Raw genomic sequence first — 17,491 nt, 5'->3', positions numbered from 1 at the left:
CGTGATGTGCTAGTACATGATGATCTAGTACTTCTGAAAATCTCTTTCTTAAGAGACCTGTGATTTTTATGTTACCCAGCAGATACATTTGTGATGATTTGTTTAACAAAAATGTTTACAATTTCTTTTTCTCCTTCCTTCCTTCCTTCCTTCCTTCCTTCCTTCCTTCCTTCCTTCCTTCCTTCCTGTCTCGCTCTGTCACCCAGGCTGGACTGCAGTGGCGCGATCTCAGCTCTGCAACCTTTGCCTCCCTTCAAGCGATTCTCCTGCCTCAGCCTCCCGAGTAGCTGGGGCTACAGACGCATGCCACCACGACTGGCTAATTTTTGTATTTTTAGTAGAGATGGGGTTTCACCACGTTGGTCAGGCTGGTATTGAACTCCTGACCTCAAGTGATCCACGTGCCTTGGGCTCCCAAAGTGCTGGGATTACAGGCGTGAGCCACTGCGCCCGGCTAAAATTTTATTTTTTAAAAAACCTCACAGTATAGAGTAGTGATTTAGCTCAGATACTTCACAGTCAGGCTGCCTTGTTTAAATCCTGGAGCCTGCCTCTTATTCTGTAACATTGGAAAAATGATCTATCCCTGCCTCAGTTTCTTCATCTATAAAATTAAAGTAATAATGGTATGAAACTTATAGGACTGTTGTGAAAAGCATATACAACATTTGGTACATTTTAAGTGTTCACCAAGTGTTAGCTGTTGCTGTTTTAAATAGCAAATTCCCTTAATGTATTCTTGCATGTTTGTGGGTTATCATTGCAGATTATTAATGTGACACAGGGCGAGAGAATGATAAACTTTAAGTTGTATGGTATTAAATAATAACCAAATGAAGGCTTATCAGAAGAAGAGATAAAGGCTTCTGAAATTATACCTCAATGGATATTTACAATACAGATTTCATAAAGCTTTATTGAATACTGTCTATGTATCAGCCCCAGTACCTTACATTTTCTCATTTTATGTAAACTTTAGGTCAGCCCTTTGAGTTCAACTCCATTTTAGAGGAGAAAGTGGAAGCTTAGAGAAATTAAGAGATTGTCTAAGATCACGAAGATGATAAATTGCAAAGGCAGAGTTCAAATGATCCCGTCTATTTCTTTTTTATAGTGAATGAGTTAGAAAATGATTCAATTTCAGACACAAACACACACACACACCCCACATTTATTTCACATGTAACCTTTCAGTAATGTAGATCAGTGGTCAGAAACTGAAATTTTTCTAATTAAATTGGGCCAGTTCATTTTGCAGTTGTAGATTGAAGCAGGTTAAAAAATACTCTCACCTAGCAATCCATAGTTTTCTATTTCTATTGCTGTTTGTTGGGTCCTCTTACCAAGAAAATTGTTAGTGAGAGTGCCATGCCAAAGAAGAGACCCCTTCTTTCACAATTAGGAATTTTTAAGTCAATTTCACAATTAGACTTTTTAAGCCAATAAGCAGGTCCAAAGGATTCAGGCAACTCTTAAAATCTTCTGCTTCAGTTCAGTTCAGTATCACAAGAGTGGAAGTTGCTGGAAAAAGTTTCCGTTTGATTTAAAGTTTATCTTTTTCACTTTAGGCCCTAAAACAGGGAATAGAAATAATCTTTTAGAACATTTGATTCCAGTAAGATTTTGGTGAGCTTATGGGAAGAGGAGTGAACTGTATCCTTAGTTATTAAGGGGGCTCAGAAATTTTTCCTCTTTTCTTTTTTTTTCAGTTGCAAAAACCGGGATTGGTGCCTTCCAAGAACAAAAGCATATTTGCTTGGGGCTAATGATGTTTCTTCAAGGCATTGGGTAAAGAGATCAAAGAGCCATCAGGAAAAAAATTGAGTTGAAAGTCAGCTAGAAGGCACCTAAAGGTCCTTTTGTGATTACACATTTTTACAGCTTTATTGAGATATAATTGACATGTAATAAACTGTTCATAAAGTCTACAATTTACATTTTGACTTGCAAATACCTGTGAAGCCATTACCACAATCAGTATAATGAACACATGCATCATGGCCCCAAATTTCCCCATGCCTCTTTGTAATCTCTCCCTCTTACCCCTCTTTGGTACACCCCCTTTTCGATTCTCAAAAGACCACTGATCTTCTTTTGCCACTCTAGATTAGTGTGCATTTTGTAGAATTTTATATGCATGGAATTGTATAGTATGTACCCTTTTTTGTGGGGGAGGGTCTGGCTTTTTTGAAAACCCAGAATAATTATTTTGAGATTCATCCATGTTGTTGAGTCTATCAAGAGTTCATTCCTTTTTATTGCTGTGTAGTGTTTCATTGTGTAGCTATACAACAATTTGTTTATCCACTCACCTGTTGATGGACAGATAGGTTATTGCCTATGATTTTAATCCAACCCATTTATTTTACTTGTAGAGAAGTCCAGGGAGAAGAAGTCTTCAGAAAGGGGGCTTGGCTAAGGTTCCTACTGCATTTGAGGGGTGATGAGAAGAGTAGCCTGTGACCTTGAGATTTTGTTCCAACAAGCCTGGCAGTTGCATTTTGGCTTGGCCTGATTTGCCTGGGATGACCTTTCCTTTGACATCTCTAACCCTCCAACTCTGAACTTACAGTAACAGGAATTTTTTTTAAAAGATTATATGAAATTTTATCTACATATATGTATTTACACATCTCTCTATGTCATTGATAGACTTCTTTTTTGCTGTATATAAGAGATACCTTGTATACGGCGATGTGAGTCTCAGAGGATAAGGTAACCCATGTTTACTCTAGGCCAATCTTTTTTCACCTGGTTTCTTAATCGTATCCCTCCTCTTTCCTCAGGGACCTAGAGCCTTTAATTATCTCCTCTTTCTACCAGTTCTTTAGCCACAGCCTATAATCTTGTGCAATTTCTCCACGCCCTTCCCTCTAAGCCTCTCCGTTGATCCTATGTAAGCCTCTAGTTCTTACCTGATTTGTCTCCTTCCCTTTGAGCAAAGTTTCTTGAAAAAGTAGCCTACACTTGATGTCGTTACTTCCTCACTTTCCATTCCCTTGTTCTTAACCCTTCAGTCGCTTTCTCTGATGCACGTGGTGCTATTGATTTGTCCCCTGAATTCTTAGACTCTTCCTCCCTTGGCCTCTGTGAATCACTCCCTCCCTCCTGGGTTTCTGTCTACTTGTCTGAATTTTCCTATTTTTAATCTCTAGTTGAGCTCATCCTCAACTATTCCTCAGAACTCTGTCCTTGTGTCCTTGACCTACTGCTCTTCTTTCTTTTCTTTTCTGTTTTTTTTTTTGTGACGGAATTTCACTCGTCGCCCAGGCTGGAGTGCAATGGCGCAATCTTGGCTCACTGCAACCTCTGCCTCCTGGGTTCAAGTGATTCTCCTGCCTCGGTCTCCCGAGTAGCTGGGATTACAGGTGCCCGCCACCATGACCGGCTAATTTTTATATTTTCAGTAGAGACGAGATTTCGCCATGTTGGCCAGGCTGGTCTTGAATGCCTGACCTCAAGTGATCCACCTGCCTCGACCTCCCAAAGTGCTGGGATTACAGGGGTGAGCCACCGCACCCGGCCCCTACTGCTCTTCTTTTCTCTATTGTCTCTTTCTGGAAGGCCTCTTGTGTTCTCCATATTCTAATTATGTGGTCGCTGGTGATGCTCCTAAATACATATTGATAACCACAAGCTACACACTAGAATACCATTTCTTTGGATTTTGGACAGGGAGAAAGAGATCATCTCTAAAACGGAACTCATAGTTCCCTTCAAACATCCTCCTCCCACTAAAGACGCCACCATTCACTCAACCATCCAGGGTAGACACTCAGCCACTGTCTTTAATCTTCCCCATCCATCGTAGTTATTCCTTGACCCTGGGCTTTCCTCTCCAGGCAATTCAGGGCTTTATCACCTGGATTATTGTAATAATCTAATGTTAGCTATCTCCTCACCCCCACCTTCCATTTACCCTTAAATCAGTGTGTTGTCCACAGTTTACCCCCATGTGTTCTTTGATGGATCCCTTTTCTGCTTAAAAACATCATAATAAGTTTCCTACCGAAAAAAGTTCAAATCCTCTTAACTTTTCATATAAGATTTTTAATGATGTGATCCCCTGCCTATAACTGCAGCTTTTATGATCTTATTCTGCAGTTTTTTTTATTTTGCTAGACCAGCTCTTATTCATCTGTCTTTCTTTCTTTTTTTCTTTTTCTTTTTCTTTTTTTTTCCTCTGTCGCCCAGGCCAGGCTGGAGTGTAGTGGTGCCATCTCAGCTCACTGCAACCTCCGCCTCCTGGGTTCAAGTGATTTTCCTGCCTCAGCACCCCGAGTAGCTGGGATTACAGGCATGTGCCACCATGCCTGCCTAATTTTTGTATTTTTAGTAGAGACGGGGTTTACACCATATTGGCCAGGCTGGTCTCGAATTCCTGACCTCAAGTCATCCAGCCACCTAGGCCTCCCAAAGTGCTGGGATTACAGACGTGAGCCACTGTGCTCGGCCTTATTCATCTTTCAAGACCCTTCTAGGTGTTTCTTCTCTGTGTCCACAATATCCTGTGCATTCTTGTCATACGACACTCATTATAATACACTGAAACATTCTAGTTTTTGTCTGTGCTTCTTACAAGGCTAAGATCTGCGAGGGCAGGAGCTTGTCTATTCATCTTTGTATCTGTCCCACCCCCCGAGGGTCTAACATAATTCCTGGCATACAATAAACACTCAATAAGTGTTTGTCAACAAAAATAATAAACATCCCATGACCTTTTAGAATGTAAAATCGCTGTCAGTTACACCAGCTCATTGAATGCTCATAATAGTCCATGAGGGTAATACCACCACAACTCCATTTCACAGATAAGGACACACAGGAGAGAGGGCTTCAGCCATTCCTCAAGGTCACAGGCAGATCAACTGATTGTAAATCCAATTTTTTTTCCCTTACATTTGTGATTTTGGAAAATGTCAGTGTGTTAGGACAGAGATTTAGTTTGACTCTGTAAACATTTATTGAAACAACTATTATCTATGAGCCACAATCCTAAGTGTGAAAGCAATGAAGGAGAGTGGAGGAGACCACTTATGCCTGGTAAGGTTCTAGACACTCACAGTCTCCCCCACTCCGTCCCTCCCTCCCTCCCTTCCTCCCTTCCTTCCTTCCTCCCTCCCTCTCTCTTGCTCCCTCCCTCCCTCGATTTCTTTCTTCCCCCTCTTTTATTTTATTTACTTAGTTGAGATCCAGGGTCTCACTCTCTCACTCAGGCTGGAGTGCAGTGGCACAATCATAGCTCACTGCAGCCTTGAACTCCTGGGCTCAAGTGATCATCTTGTCTCGGCCTCCTGAGTAGCTAGGATTACAGGTGCACGCCACCATGCCCGGCTTTATTTCTGTAGAGATGAGGTCTCACTGTGTTATCCAGGGCAGGTGTCAAACTCCTGGCCTCGAGCAATCCTGCCTTGGCCTTCCAAAGTGCTGGGATCACAGGTGTGAGCCATCATGCCTGCCCCTTCCTTCTTTTCTTTCATTCTTTCTTTTTCTCTCTTTTTTCCACGATGTGGGGTAGAGGGGCTGGCTTGTGCATTGTAGGATGTTTAGCAGATTCTCTGGCCTCTATCCCTAGATGCTGGTAGCAACACCCCCACCTCGTTGTGACAACCAAATATGTCTTCAAGCATTGCCAAATGTCCCCAGTTGTGTGTGCGTGAGACAAATTTGCCCCCAGCTGAGAACAACTGTGGTGTGGATAGACTTAAAAATGAGGGGATTAAGAATAAGAGGGCTTTGCTTTGCTTCCCAAAGCATGGCAGGTGTTCCATGGGTACAGTTCTGTATGGGCTAAGAGTCAGGGGAGTAGGGAGGGAGAGAAGGAGATGTTAGGAGTGTGTCTGCATGGAAGCAGAGGCCAGTAGGAGTTCTGGAAGAAGATAGAAGATGGGCGAGTGGTGTTGAAGGGTGGGGTCCTAGAGAACCCATGATAATAGGAACGTTGGCTATGCAATGGGAGAGGAAGAAATGTGTGTGCATATGTGTGTGAAATGTAGATCTCAGCTCATCCTACCGAACCAAATTCTAAAGAGGAGAGTCAGTTGTTCTTTGGAAGACCAGACTTGGGGAGAAGCCAGGCTATAAATCCTGGAGGGGAGGACTTTACTGCCACTTAGAAATCAGGCCTGAAACACCCATAATGTTTGTCAGTCCACATTTTAGTGTTCTTAAGTAAGTTTGCAGGGTGTGGGGAATGAAATATGGCAGGTATTTGATTTAAAAAGCCTGCACAGATTTAATGTCCTGATAAAATGTATTAAATCTTTTAAGGTTTTAATGAATCTAGTATGTGTTTCATAAATCAAGAACTCTGCTAAGCCGTCTTCTGGTTTAATAAGAGTAAACTAGGAAATTGCTCTGAGCAGAAGCAAAATACATTTATATCACACTGAAAAGTAATAGATTTTTAAGCTGAGGGGGTCTTTCTGGGCTTTTTATGCTGTTTGCTTATTATGTTGCTCCAACTCCTTCAAATATTAAACCACAGGGAAACGTGCTTAACCGTATCAAGATGTGAACTAGCACAAAGGTAAATATTATTTGTAAGAGAGCAGAAAACAAAGCCAGTATTTCCTTACCCTTAGACCTAGGACCAGGTTGATTTCTGCACTGACACCTGGCTTTGTGTATCTAGGCGTAAGGTGGTTGGTTAAAAATCATTATTAACTGTTATTAAATCACCTTTCCCAAGTTCTCTCACTCCTCCATCCTCACCCCCTTAGCACATCTGCCAGATTGAAGCCGTGAGTGTATAAAATACTTCTTGAATTTTACAGCTGGCTGTGGAATGGCCTTGTTAAACTTGCTGGCCAGACCGTCCAAAGCAAGTGTTCAGAGATCCTTCCATCATCTTAAACCCAAGGGCTGAAGTGTTCGCTTTGGTTCTTTTTCCTTCCTTCCAGCCCCATTGCTCAAGCTCCAGTGGGAATGGGAAAGGGGCTTTTGGGGGTGTGGGTGTAACAGATGGGTATCTGTGAGCAGGCTGGGGCTTGAAGCCTCACTACCCAGCTTCCTTGGTGGATGGGCAAGATTTTGGGGTGAGATGGTGGTTCAGGGAGTTGGGGGGAGGTGGTGTTGGAGGAATGAAGGGGGGTGGGGCTTGAACATTCCGGTGCACAAAAGCTGGCAGGGCTTGTGAGCTCTGCAGGGGAGGGAGCGGGCCTGTAAAGCTCAGTGTGGAGAAGCCTGTCCAACCTCATTAGCTGTCAGGGGCAACAATACTGATCTGGCAATAGAGGCGATTCCAAACCTGTTGGTCATTAATCACCCGCCTGACAGTTGCGAATGGAAGTGGAAAAACCTCATCCCCCCTCCACCCTTCCCCTCCTCCTGGGCCCAGCTCTGGAGTTTAGAGTTACCTCTTCGTGTATATGTGGTTCACGGCTGTGTGCTGGGTCCTTCCCTCTTGGCTTTTTTAGCGGGTCGTTTTCAGCACGGAGAGGCTACAGGTTGGCCAGAGCCTGGCAGACAGTGATTCTGGGCACAGAGACTGGGGAGCAAGAAAATGAAAGGTAGTGGCTTCTGGAGGGGGGACCTCAGCTGTGACCCCTCTGGGATCTAGGGCTGGGTCTTGGCAAGCTGGTGGAGTCAGGGAAGGCTGTCATCAGCACCCAGGCCTCGTCTTTCCACACCCGCCCCCTCGTTCCCTGGCACACCCTTCTCTCCCTCCTTCAGCTACTAGGTGCCAACATATTTTCCTTTATGTTCCTTTTCCCTGCCCTTCCCACCCTCCCTTCCCTTCCCTTCCCTTCCCACCATTCCCAAATAAGCAGATCCTGCTGGCAGGAAAAGTTTTCATCTCAATTTTTTCCATCTCACTCTGAATTCAAGCCCCGTTTCGTCTCTCAGAGGGGCTTGGCTTTTCAGCCCCATCTCTAGCTGTGGCAGTGGGGTACGAGTGATGTTTGTATTTTAATAGTGATATTGATATTTCATGTGTGAGAGTGCAGTCAGGGTGGTGCAAGGAGAGGCCTGGTCTGCACAGGTGCCTCTGAAATCAACCAATGGGAAGTGCTGCTTAGTTTCTTAGTCTGTCTCTCTAAGTTTTTTCATAAAGGAGGGAGGAGAAGAGAGATGGAGCAGAGGACATCTACAGACCAGACTAGGATGAGGACTTCTGTCACTCAAGTTTCTTTTTTTTTTGAGATGGAGTCTCGCTCTGTCTCCCAGGCTGGAGTGCAGCAGCGCGATCTTGGCTCATTGCCTCCTGGGTTCAAGTGATTGTCCTGCTTCAGCCTCCCGAGTAGCTGGGACTACAGGCACCCCCCACCACGCCCAGCTAATTCTGTTAGTCAAGTTTCTTGCATGCTCTTCAGTGCACGTGAGCCAGGTTACATTTAAGAGAGAAGATTCAACTTCTGCTCAGTTTCCCAGGATGTAGAGGGAGGAGGAGTGTAAGGAATTAGCCAGGAATTCCTGAAAGAGTAACGTCAAGATAATTTACACACTTCTTAGCTCTTCTGCTGGGCAGGCCTGAGAGAGTAACCTGAGTGCTAACAACCAAGGAAGGGGAGAAATTGCAACAAAAATTGTCAATTGGTCTAAACTAGTCCTCTAGTTTTCCCAAACATTTCTGCATTCCGTGGGTGCAGATGACCCCTGGTCTTGGCCACATTTGTTGGTGTCGTCTGCTCTCTCCATAGCTTCTCTGACCTCTTGCTACTCATTATAGCATTAGGCAGAGGATGGTCACATCTGTCCACAGTTGATCCATCCAGGCTATCCTGACAAAGACAAATTCCCATGACAAACTCATAGGAACAAAATGGAAAGGAGGGATAGTCACAACTACAGCATTTTAGGCCGGCTTCCCAATTTTTCATATACCCCTTTATTCTTTTGTTTTTTTTTGAGATGGAGTCTTGCTCTGTCACCCAGGCTGGGGGTCTTGCTCTGCCACCCAGGCTGGAGTGCAGTGGCACAGTCTCAGCTCACTGCAACCTTTGCCTCCCAGGTTCAAGTGATTCTTGTCCCTCAGCCTCCCGAGTAGCTGGGACTACAGCTGTGGGACACCATGCCTGGCTAATTTTTGTATTTTTTAGTAGAGACGGGGTTTTGGTATGTTACCCATGTTGGTCTCGAACTCCTGGTCTCAAGTGATCCAACCGCCTGGTCCTCCCAAAGTGCTGGGATTACAGGCATGAGCCACCACGCCTGGCCTCCTTATGTTTTCTCTGATACAATGGTTGTTCTTAATTCCAGCTACACATTAGAATCATTTGGTGATGTCTGGGCCACATTCCCTGATATTCTGATAACATTGGTCTGGGGTAAGGCCCCCACAAGGAGATTTTTTTTTTTTTTTTTGAGTCGGGTTCTCATTCTGCCGCTAAGGCTGGAGTTCAGTGGTCTCATTATAGCTCACTGCAGCCTTGATTTCTTGGGCTCAAACAGTCCTCCCACCTCAGCCTCTTGAGTAGCCGGGACTACAGACATGCACCACCACACTTGGCTAATTTGTAATTTTTTTGTAGAGATAGGGTCTTGCTTTGTTGCCCAGGCTGGTCTTGAACTCCTGGTCTCAAGTGATCCTTCCTCTGCCTCCCAAAGTGCTGGGATTGCAGTCATGAGCCATTGTGCCCGGCCAGGGATTTTTTTTTGAGACAGGGTCTTGCTTTATTACCCAGGCTGGAGTGCAGTGGCGTAATCACAGCTCACTGCAGCCTCTACCTCCCAGGCTCATTTGATCCCCCCACCTTAGCCTCCTGAGTAGCTGGGACTACAGGCACGTGCCACCATGCCTGGCTAATTTTTGTATTTTTAGTAGAGGTAGGATTTCGCCATGTTGCCCAGGCTGGTCTTGAATTCCTGGGCTCAAACGATCCACCGCCTCGGCCTCTCAAAGTACTGGGATTACAAGGTTAAGCCACTGTGCCCAGCCAGAGATATTTGGGAAAAGCTCTTCAGGTGATACAAGCCTCACTCAGCTTGGGCTGAAAAGTACTGGTGTCATATTTGTAAACTCATCATGGCAGTTCACACCATGGTATCTTTGTTTTTGAGATTTACCTCCTGGAAAGCCACCTTCCTCTTTTCTCTGCACTATTTATTTATTTTTTATTGACACTATTTATTTATTTATTTTTTGAGATGGAGTCTTGTTCTGTCACCCAGGCTGGATTGCAGTGGTGCGATCTCAGCTCACTGCAACCTCTGTCTCCCAGGTTCAAGTGATTCCCCTGCCTCTGCCTCCTGAGTAGCTGGGACTACAGGCATACACCACCACACCTGGTTAATTTTTTTGTATTTTTAGTAGAGATGGGGTTTCACCATGTCGGCCAGACTGGTCTCGAACTCCTGACCTCAGGTGATCTGCCCACCTCAGCCTCCCAAAGTGCAGGGATTATAGGCATGAGCCACTGTGCCCAGCCCTTGGCCCTATTTAGAAGAGAGAAGTAAAAGATGTAGTTCTTAGCTGGGGAAATGACATGCACACACACAGAACAGTTCTATGTAAAGGCTAAATGATCTGAAACAAAATATAGGAGCTACAGGGGCTCAGAGGAGGGCTGGAGTAATCAGGGAAAGTGGTGAGGAGGAAGGGGACTTGGGTGGATAGCATTTAGGTAAGTGGGCAGGAAAGGTGGGGGACTTCAGGCAGAGGGCCAGTGTGAGCAGAACAACAGGACCTATGCTGGGGACAAGGAGAGGGTTTGCTTGACTAGATGGGAGGCTCAGCTCAGGTTCTTTCTCCTCCTCCAGCCGGCACTCATCCGTCCAGGATTCCTGCAGCATCACTGCAGGTTCCACTTAGTCCTGGACTGCTGTGTACTGCTCAGTCACTTTCATGTGTATGTCACTAGTTCTCTCAATCAGATATACAAGCAACTGGAAGGCAGGGAGCATACTTTATATAAGTTGGGACATTCAACACAATGCAATGCAATTCAAGCCAATTCGATTCAATGCAATCCAATCCAATTCAATTCAACATGTTTTTATTGAGTACCAGCTATGTGCCTGTTCTAGGCTTTTGAGATTCGATTAAACAGACAAAGATACTGGCCTTCCTGAGCTTAGTTCTCACAGGAGCGTACAGACAAAAAGATATACTATAAATAATATTAGATAAATTAGATATTATGGTAGAAGGTGATAAGCACCAGGGAAGAAATGAAAAGAAGGCCAGGGTCCTGGGGCTAAGGAGTGAGTGTGTCCATGCGTGTCTGTGTGTTATTAAATAGAAGGTATTAAGCAGAAGACATTATGAAAAAGAAGGCACTATTAATAGAGGTATTAAATAGAAAGTCAGAGTATGTCTCGTTGAGAAGGTGATAATTTACCAAAAACATAAAGGAAATGATGGGGCTGGCCAAGAAGATTTCTGGAAGAGAAGTTTCCAAACGGAGGACAGCTAGAGAATGGCCCCAGACAGGAGCATCCTAGTGTGTTTGAGGAATGGCAGGGAGGCCATGTGGCTGAAGCCAAAGCTGCTGAAGAAGACGGTGGGGTGGGAGGAGATTGGAGAGGGTGCAGGGAGCTAGGTCTTAGAAGCCACCCTGTGGACTTTGGCCACTCCTCCAAATGAGATGGGAGCTCTCATGGGCTTTCAAACCAATGAGCAACTTCTGTTTCTAAAAGATCTTTTGGCTATAGTGTTGAGAATAGATGATGGGGGTTGGGAGGTGGAGAGTGGGACCAGGGTAGAAGAAGATCTGTCAAGAGACTGATTTTTACAGACGCAGCTGAACCTGTGCAACTCAGAGAAAGAAGACCTTCAGCGTATTCATGTTGGAAGGCTACATACGATTCTCATGTGCTTATTAAGAACTTCATTATAAGACACACATTATTTAGATTTTTGACCTGACCGAATAAGCCTGATCATCCAGCTTATTCACCAGGGCTGGCTTCAGGAGAGACATTTCCCCTGCTAATCACCACATAAAGATTTGTAATTGTCAATTAAAAGTCTGATGGTTTAAAGATAGCTTTCAAAACATTCCAAAGAGTTTTGAGCAAGGCAACATATAAGAATGAGTGTATATCCTTCCAAAGGGACATTTTGAATGGGACAATATTTATTTTGATATCTAAGTCCTGCTAAGTTTGCTTTAAAAATTTTAGTACTTTATAGTATCTCTTCTGTGTTCTCTTACTATTGAGTGGAGGCTTGGTATTCAGCACACAGTATACTTAAGAAGAGCCTGGGGAATGGAATTAAGTCTTGGGCATGTTGATATGTGTTTATTTGCAAGGCAGTATTAAAAATTTCATATGAATTTCCAAATCCAACTAATTTTGAGGGGCCAAACTACTTTTTTTCCTTGAAAGAAGTAAGATATATTTAAAAGAGGTTCTTCCCCTTCCCCTCCTAAGAAGCAAAGGTAACTACTTTTCTGTTAAGCTTCTTACAAGTCCATTTAAATGAATGAGCAGCCAGGGGGGTTATCAGTCTGTCCCCAAGTCAACATTACTGAGCAGCTTTGTGGGTGTTAGTTATTGAGAGGGGATTTAAAAAATAGAGGCTGGGCACAGTGGCTCATGCCTATAATCCCAGGACTTTGGGAGGCCAAGGCAGGCAGATCACCTGAGGTCAGGAGTTTGAGACCAGCCTGGCCAACATCGTGGAACCCTGTCTCTACTAAAAATACAAAAATTAACCGGGCATGGTGGTGCACACCTGTAATCCCAGCTACTCAAGAGGCTGAGGCAGGAGAATCACTTGAACCCGGGAGGCGGAGGTTGCAGAGAACCAAGATCTTTAGCCTGGGTGACAGCGAGATGCCATCTCAAAAAAAAAAAAAAAAAAACACCTCCATTTGCCCTCATGTTGCTCCCAATCTGGCAGGGAAAACAGACCATGAAACAAAACAACACTAGAAGGACACATATTGCTGGGGGATTAGAGAAAAGAAGATTCTTGGCCAGGTGCGGTGGCTCATGCCTGTCATCCCAGCACTTTGGGAGGCCAAGGCAGGAGGACTGCTTGAGGCCAGGAGTTTGAGACCAGCCTGGGCAACATGGGAAAACCCAGTTTCTACAAAAAAATCCAAAAAGTTAGCCAGGTGTGGTAGCACATGCCTGTAGTCTCAGCTACTTGGGAGGCTGAAGTGGGAGGATCTCTTGAGCCCAGGAGGTTGAGGCTGCAGTGAGCGGTGATTGCACCACTGCACTCCAGCCTGGGTGACAGAGCACGATTCTGTCTCAAAAAAATAAATAAAACTAAAAAAGAAAAGGAGACTCCTTATTCCTATGTGTGTCATATATGTGTGTAGTTTTAAACGTTTTCAATGTTTTATAACATCCATGATCTCATTTCATTTAGACCCAGTGATAATTCTCTGAAATAAAGTCACAGAGAGTCACGGCTGCTAAGGACCTCAGAGATCATCCATTTTATCCAATCCCTTGATTCTATATGGAGGAAACCAAGGCATGGATATGGGAAGTGCATTGTCATGGTCACACAGAAGCAGAGGAGCTGGAATGCGAACCCGGGGCCCTTGGTTCTTTTCCACATTCTTTCCTACACTTTCAGAATGGGGAGGGCGATTGGATTAAGGCCACAGGAGCATTTAATGAAGCCCAGGGGAGCCCAGGTGGGGACGAGGTGATGGTTCAGTATGAGGATTTGGGAGGTGGGGTCACTGTAGGGACATCCCGAGGCCCAGAGTCACCAGGGGAAACATTAGCTTTTAATTATCACTTTCTGAGGCTGCCCCTCCCACAGTTAGGGTGTCTGGAGCGGGGGAATCAAGCGGGCAAGGAATGCCTGCTGGAATGAAGGCGGCCAGCGGTCTTTACATGAGGCCTCAGTCACGAACGGAATTCCTCAGCATGGGGTGCTGACGTTCCAACCACTGGCTGGGAACAAAGACCTGCACATGGGACACCCCAGGAGCAAGGTGTTCGCCCCTTCCTGTGACCCGAGCCCTCCAGCGCACGGGCGGCGAAGCGTTGCAGAGCCACCCAGGACCTTTCAGCTGCGGCCAGGCCCATGCCCAAGTGCTCAGGCCCAATAATGTCCTGCTGTCCTGCCAAGCCCCATGCCCCAAGGCGTCCCAGCCCTGGTTCGGGGCCATGCAGGGAATTGAGGCAGCGAAGGCATGGGGAACCCTGGTCTCCTGGGAGGAAAGGAGACCCAGGAGCATTTATTATTTTATTTTAGTTTTTTAGAGATAGGACCTCTAAATCCAACTAATTAGCAAACTCATACACAATTTTTTTTTTCTTTTTTTTTGAGATGGAGTCTCGCTCCGTCACCCAGGCTGGAGTGCAGTGGTGCAATCTCGGCTCACTGTAACCTCTGCCTCCTGGGTTTAAGCTATTCTCCTGCCTCAGCCTCCTGAGTAGCTGGGATTACAGGTGCTTGCCACCACACCAGGCTAATTTTTCTACTTTTAGTAGAGTCGAGGTTTCACCATGTTGGCCAGGCTGGTGTTGAACTCCTGACCTTCAGCAATTCTCCCGCCTCGCCCTCCCAAAGTGCTGGGATTACAGGCGTGAGCCACCGCGCCTGGGCTCTACACTATATATATATTATATATATATATATATATATATATATATCCTTTTTTTTTTTAAATGGAGTTTCGCTCTTGTTGCCCAGGCTGGAATGCAATGGCATGATCTCTGTTCACCGCAAACTCCACCTCCCGGGTTCAAGGGATTCTCTTGCCTCAGCCTCCCGAATAGCTGGGATTATAGGCATGAGCCACCACACCCGGCTATTTTTTGTATTTTTAGTAGAGATGGAGTTTCTCCATGTTGGTCAGGCTGGTCTCGAACTCCCGACCTCAGGTGATCCTTCCGCCTCAGCCTCCCAAAGTGTTGGGGATTACAGGTGTGAGCCACCGCACCCAGCCACAATGATTTTTATAAAAAATGATTTTATAAATCATTTTATAAAAAATGATTTTATAAATCATTTTATAAAAAATGATTTTTTAAAAAAATCATAATATATATTTAAAATAGAGAAAAATTAGAAATAGCCTAAGAATATCATGCAGTCATCAAAATGCTGAGGCTGTATGGAAAAAAAAGCTTAAAACATAATGGTTAGCAAAAAAAGCAGGATATTATATATACAGTGTTTTTTATATATACATATAAAAAACATACTCTATTCTTTTTTTTGAGACAGGGTCTCACTCTGTCTCCCAGGCTGGAGTGCAGTGGTACAATCACAGCTCACTGCAGCCTCAACCTCCTGGGCTCAAGCGATCAACCCACCTCAGGCTCTGGAGTAGCTGGGACTTCAGGCATGCGTCACTGCACCTGGCAATTTTTTTTTTTTTAATAGCGATCGGGTCTTGGGATGTTGTCTACACTGGCCTTGATCTCCTGGCCTCAAGCAATCCTTCCACCTCAGGCCTCCCAAAGCACTGGGATTACAGGCGTGAACCATCACACCTGGCTGTGTTTCTTGTAGTAGCAAAGTGGACACATGTTGGGACTACCAGACACTAGGTAATTGGGTCAGGCCTGGCTTTTGTGTGCGGCTTCTTGACCATGGCATTTAGAGCAGCACTCCTCATACTTGAACTTTACTCAGGGGATTTTGTCAAAATGCAGATTTAGAGTCATGGATCGGGATGGGGCCTGTGAGTCTACATTCCCTTTTAACAAGTTTTATTTTTTGGCTGGGTGCTGTGGCTCACGCCTGTAATCCCAGAAATTTGGGAGGCTGAGGTGGGCAGATCACTTGAAGCCAGGAGTTTGAGACCACCTGGCCAACGTGGTGAAACCCTGTCTCTATGAGAAATACAAAAATTAGCTGGGTGCGGTGGTGCACGCCTGTAGTCCCAGCTACCTGGGAGGCTGAAGCACAAGAATTGCTTGAACCCAGGAAGTGGAGGCTGCAATGAGCCTGGGCCACTGCATTCTAGCCTGGGTGACAAAGCGAGACTCTGTCTCAAAAAAAAAAAGTTGTATTTTTAAATTGACAACCTAATAATTGTACATGTTTATGGGGCCCATGTGATATTTTGATACCTGCATACAATGTGTCATGATCAAATCAGGGTAATCTGCATATCCATCACCTCAAACATTTATCATGTCTTTGTGTTGGGAACATTCCAAATCCTCTCTTGTAGCTATTTGAAAATATACAATACATTCTTGTTAATGGTCATCACCATACACTGCTATAGAACACTAGGATTTATTCCTGCTAGTTCCTATGTAGCTGTAACTTTGTATCTGTTAGCCAACCTCTCCCTCCCCAACCCCTGCCCTCCCCACCCCTCTAGTGACCACAGTTCTACTGAGTCTGTATTTCTAAAGGGCTTCCAGGCTGGGCACAGTGGCTCACGCCTGTAATCCCAGCGCTTTGGGAGGCCAAGGCAGGCGGATCACCTGAGGTCAGGAGTTCCAGACTAGCCTGGGCAACATGGTGAAACCCTGTCTCTACTAAAATACAAAAAAAATTAGCTGGGGGTGGTGGTGCATGTCTGTAATCCCAGCTACTCGAGAGGCTAGGCAGGATGATCACTTGAACCCGACAGGCAGAGGTTGCAGTGAGCTGACATTGTGCCATTGCACTCTAGCCTGGGCGACAAGAGCAAAACTCTGTCTCAAAACATATAATAAAATAAAATAAAGGGCTTCCAGGTGATGGTGACACTACTGGTTTGAAATCCATGCTTAGAGGAACGAGCCTTTCAAAGGGGAGTTCGTGGGAATGAATTTATCCCAAACCTCACCTGAATAATGGTCTTCTCAGTGCTTTCCACTGAAGGTCCCATTTTTCGGACCCCTTTGCATGGTCCCTGCCTTTTCTGGATGCTTGGGTCCCGGTTGACCCCTCCGAGGACTTGCAGCACTCACTCTCTGCTCTGCTCACTTGGCCCCTCAGCATCCCATGTCTATGCTGCTTTGAGTCCCTTCGTTATCAATACTTCCCCCTTGAGGTGGCTGGCTACCTGTGCTTCACTTGCTTCTGTTCTTGTAAGGTTCAGCCACGACACTGTGGGGACAGCCAGGATCCCATGAACACTGATTCCTTGACTCCATCTGCCCTTGTGCAGGCAACAGCTCCTTTCCTGGGCCCTGTCACCTTGCTCAGTTGGCCCAGAGAGCCCCTGCTGGGCCAGTCTCTCTGTCCCTGTTGCCTGGGACTCTGTTTTTAGAACAATAAGGTGAATTCTGTTCATCTCCTAAGAAAGCGTTGAGTTCCGGAATGGGGGAAACATACTTCTCTCTTGGCAGAGGAGGAACCACCCAGTCAGGCGGGCCAAGGCCCCATTGATCAGAGTCCAGTGAAAAAGTGGCTTCTCAGGAGCCCTGGATGCTGGCCCACTTCGAGACAACTTCTTCTTTCAACTTCCTTTCATGTATTTTAACTTCACAAACATGCCAGTTTCCAGCTGCCCCTCAGACAGCAGCAGTGATGGTGGTGGGAAGGACACCGCCGTAGGGGTCAGATGGAGTGGGGTGGGGAGGGTGGTGGTGGGAGGTTTCACCCTATTAGGGATGTTTCTGTTGGGGACCAAGGTTATATCGCAGATGACTCATGCGATAACACAGTTACATGCATTAAAAT

General features: G+C 45.3%; 1 long non-coding RNA gene across 1 annotated transcript; it reads right to left on the bottom strand.

The window, feature by feature from the left end:
- LOC101929622 (uncharacterized) lies at positions 1,156-17,070 on the bottom strand. The gene is made up of 3 exons (NR_125820.1): positions 16,653-17,070; positions 7,359-7,489; positions 1,156-1,571 (listed from the first exon to the last, which is right to left on the bottom strand). It is a non-coding gene; the product is annotated as an uncharacterized LOC101929622 (long non-coding RNA).
- Positions 17,071-17,491: the final 421 nt, after the last annotated feature.

Source organism: Homo sapiens, chromosome 8 (assembly GCF_000001405.40).
Source record: "Homo sapiens chromosome 8, GRCh38.p14 Primary Assembly".
NCBI classification, from domain to species: domain Eukaryota; kingdom Metazoa; phylum Chordata; class Mammalia; order Primates; family Hominidae; genus Homo; species Homo sapiens.
The sequence above is the reverse complement of the archived record's forward strand: the minus strand, read 5'-3'. Positions and strand labels throughout refer to the sequence as shown.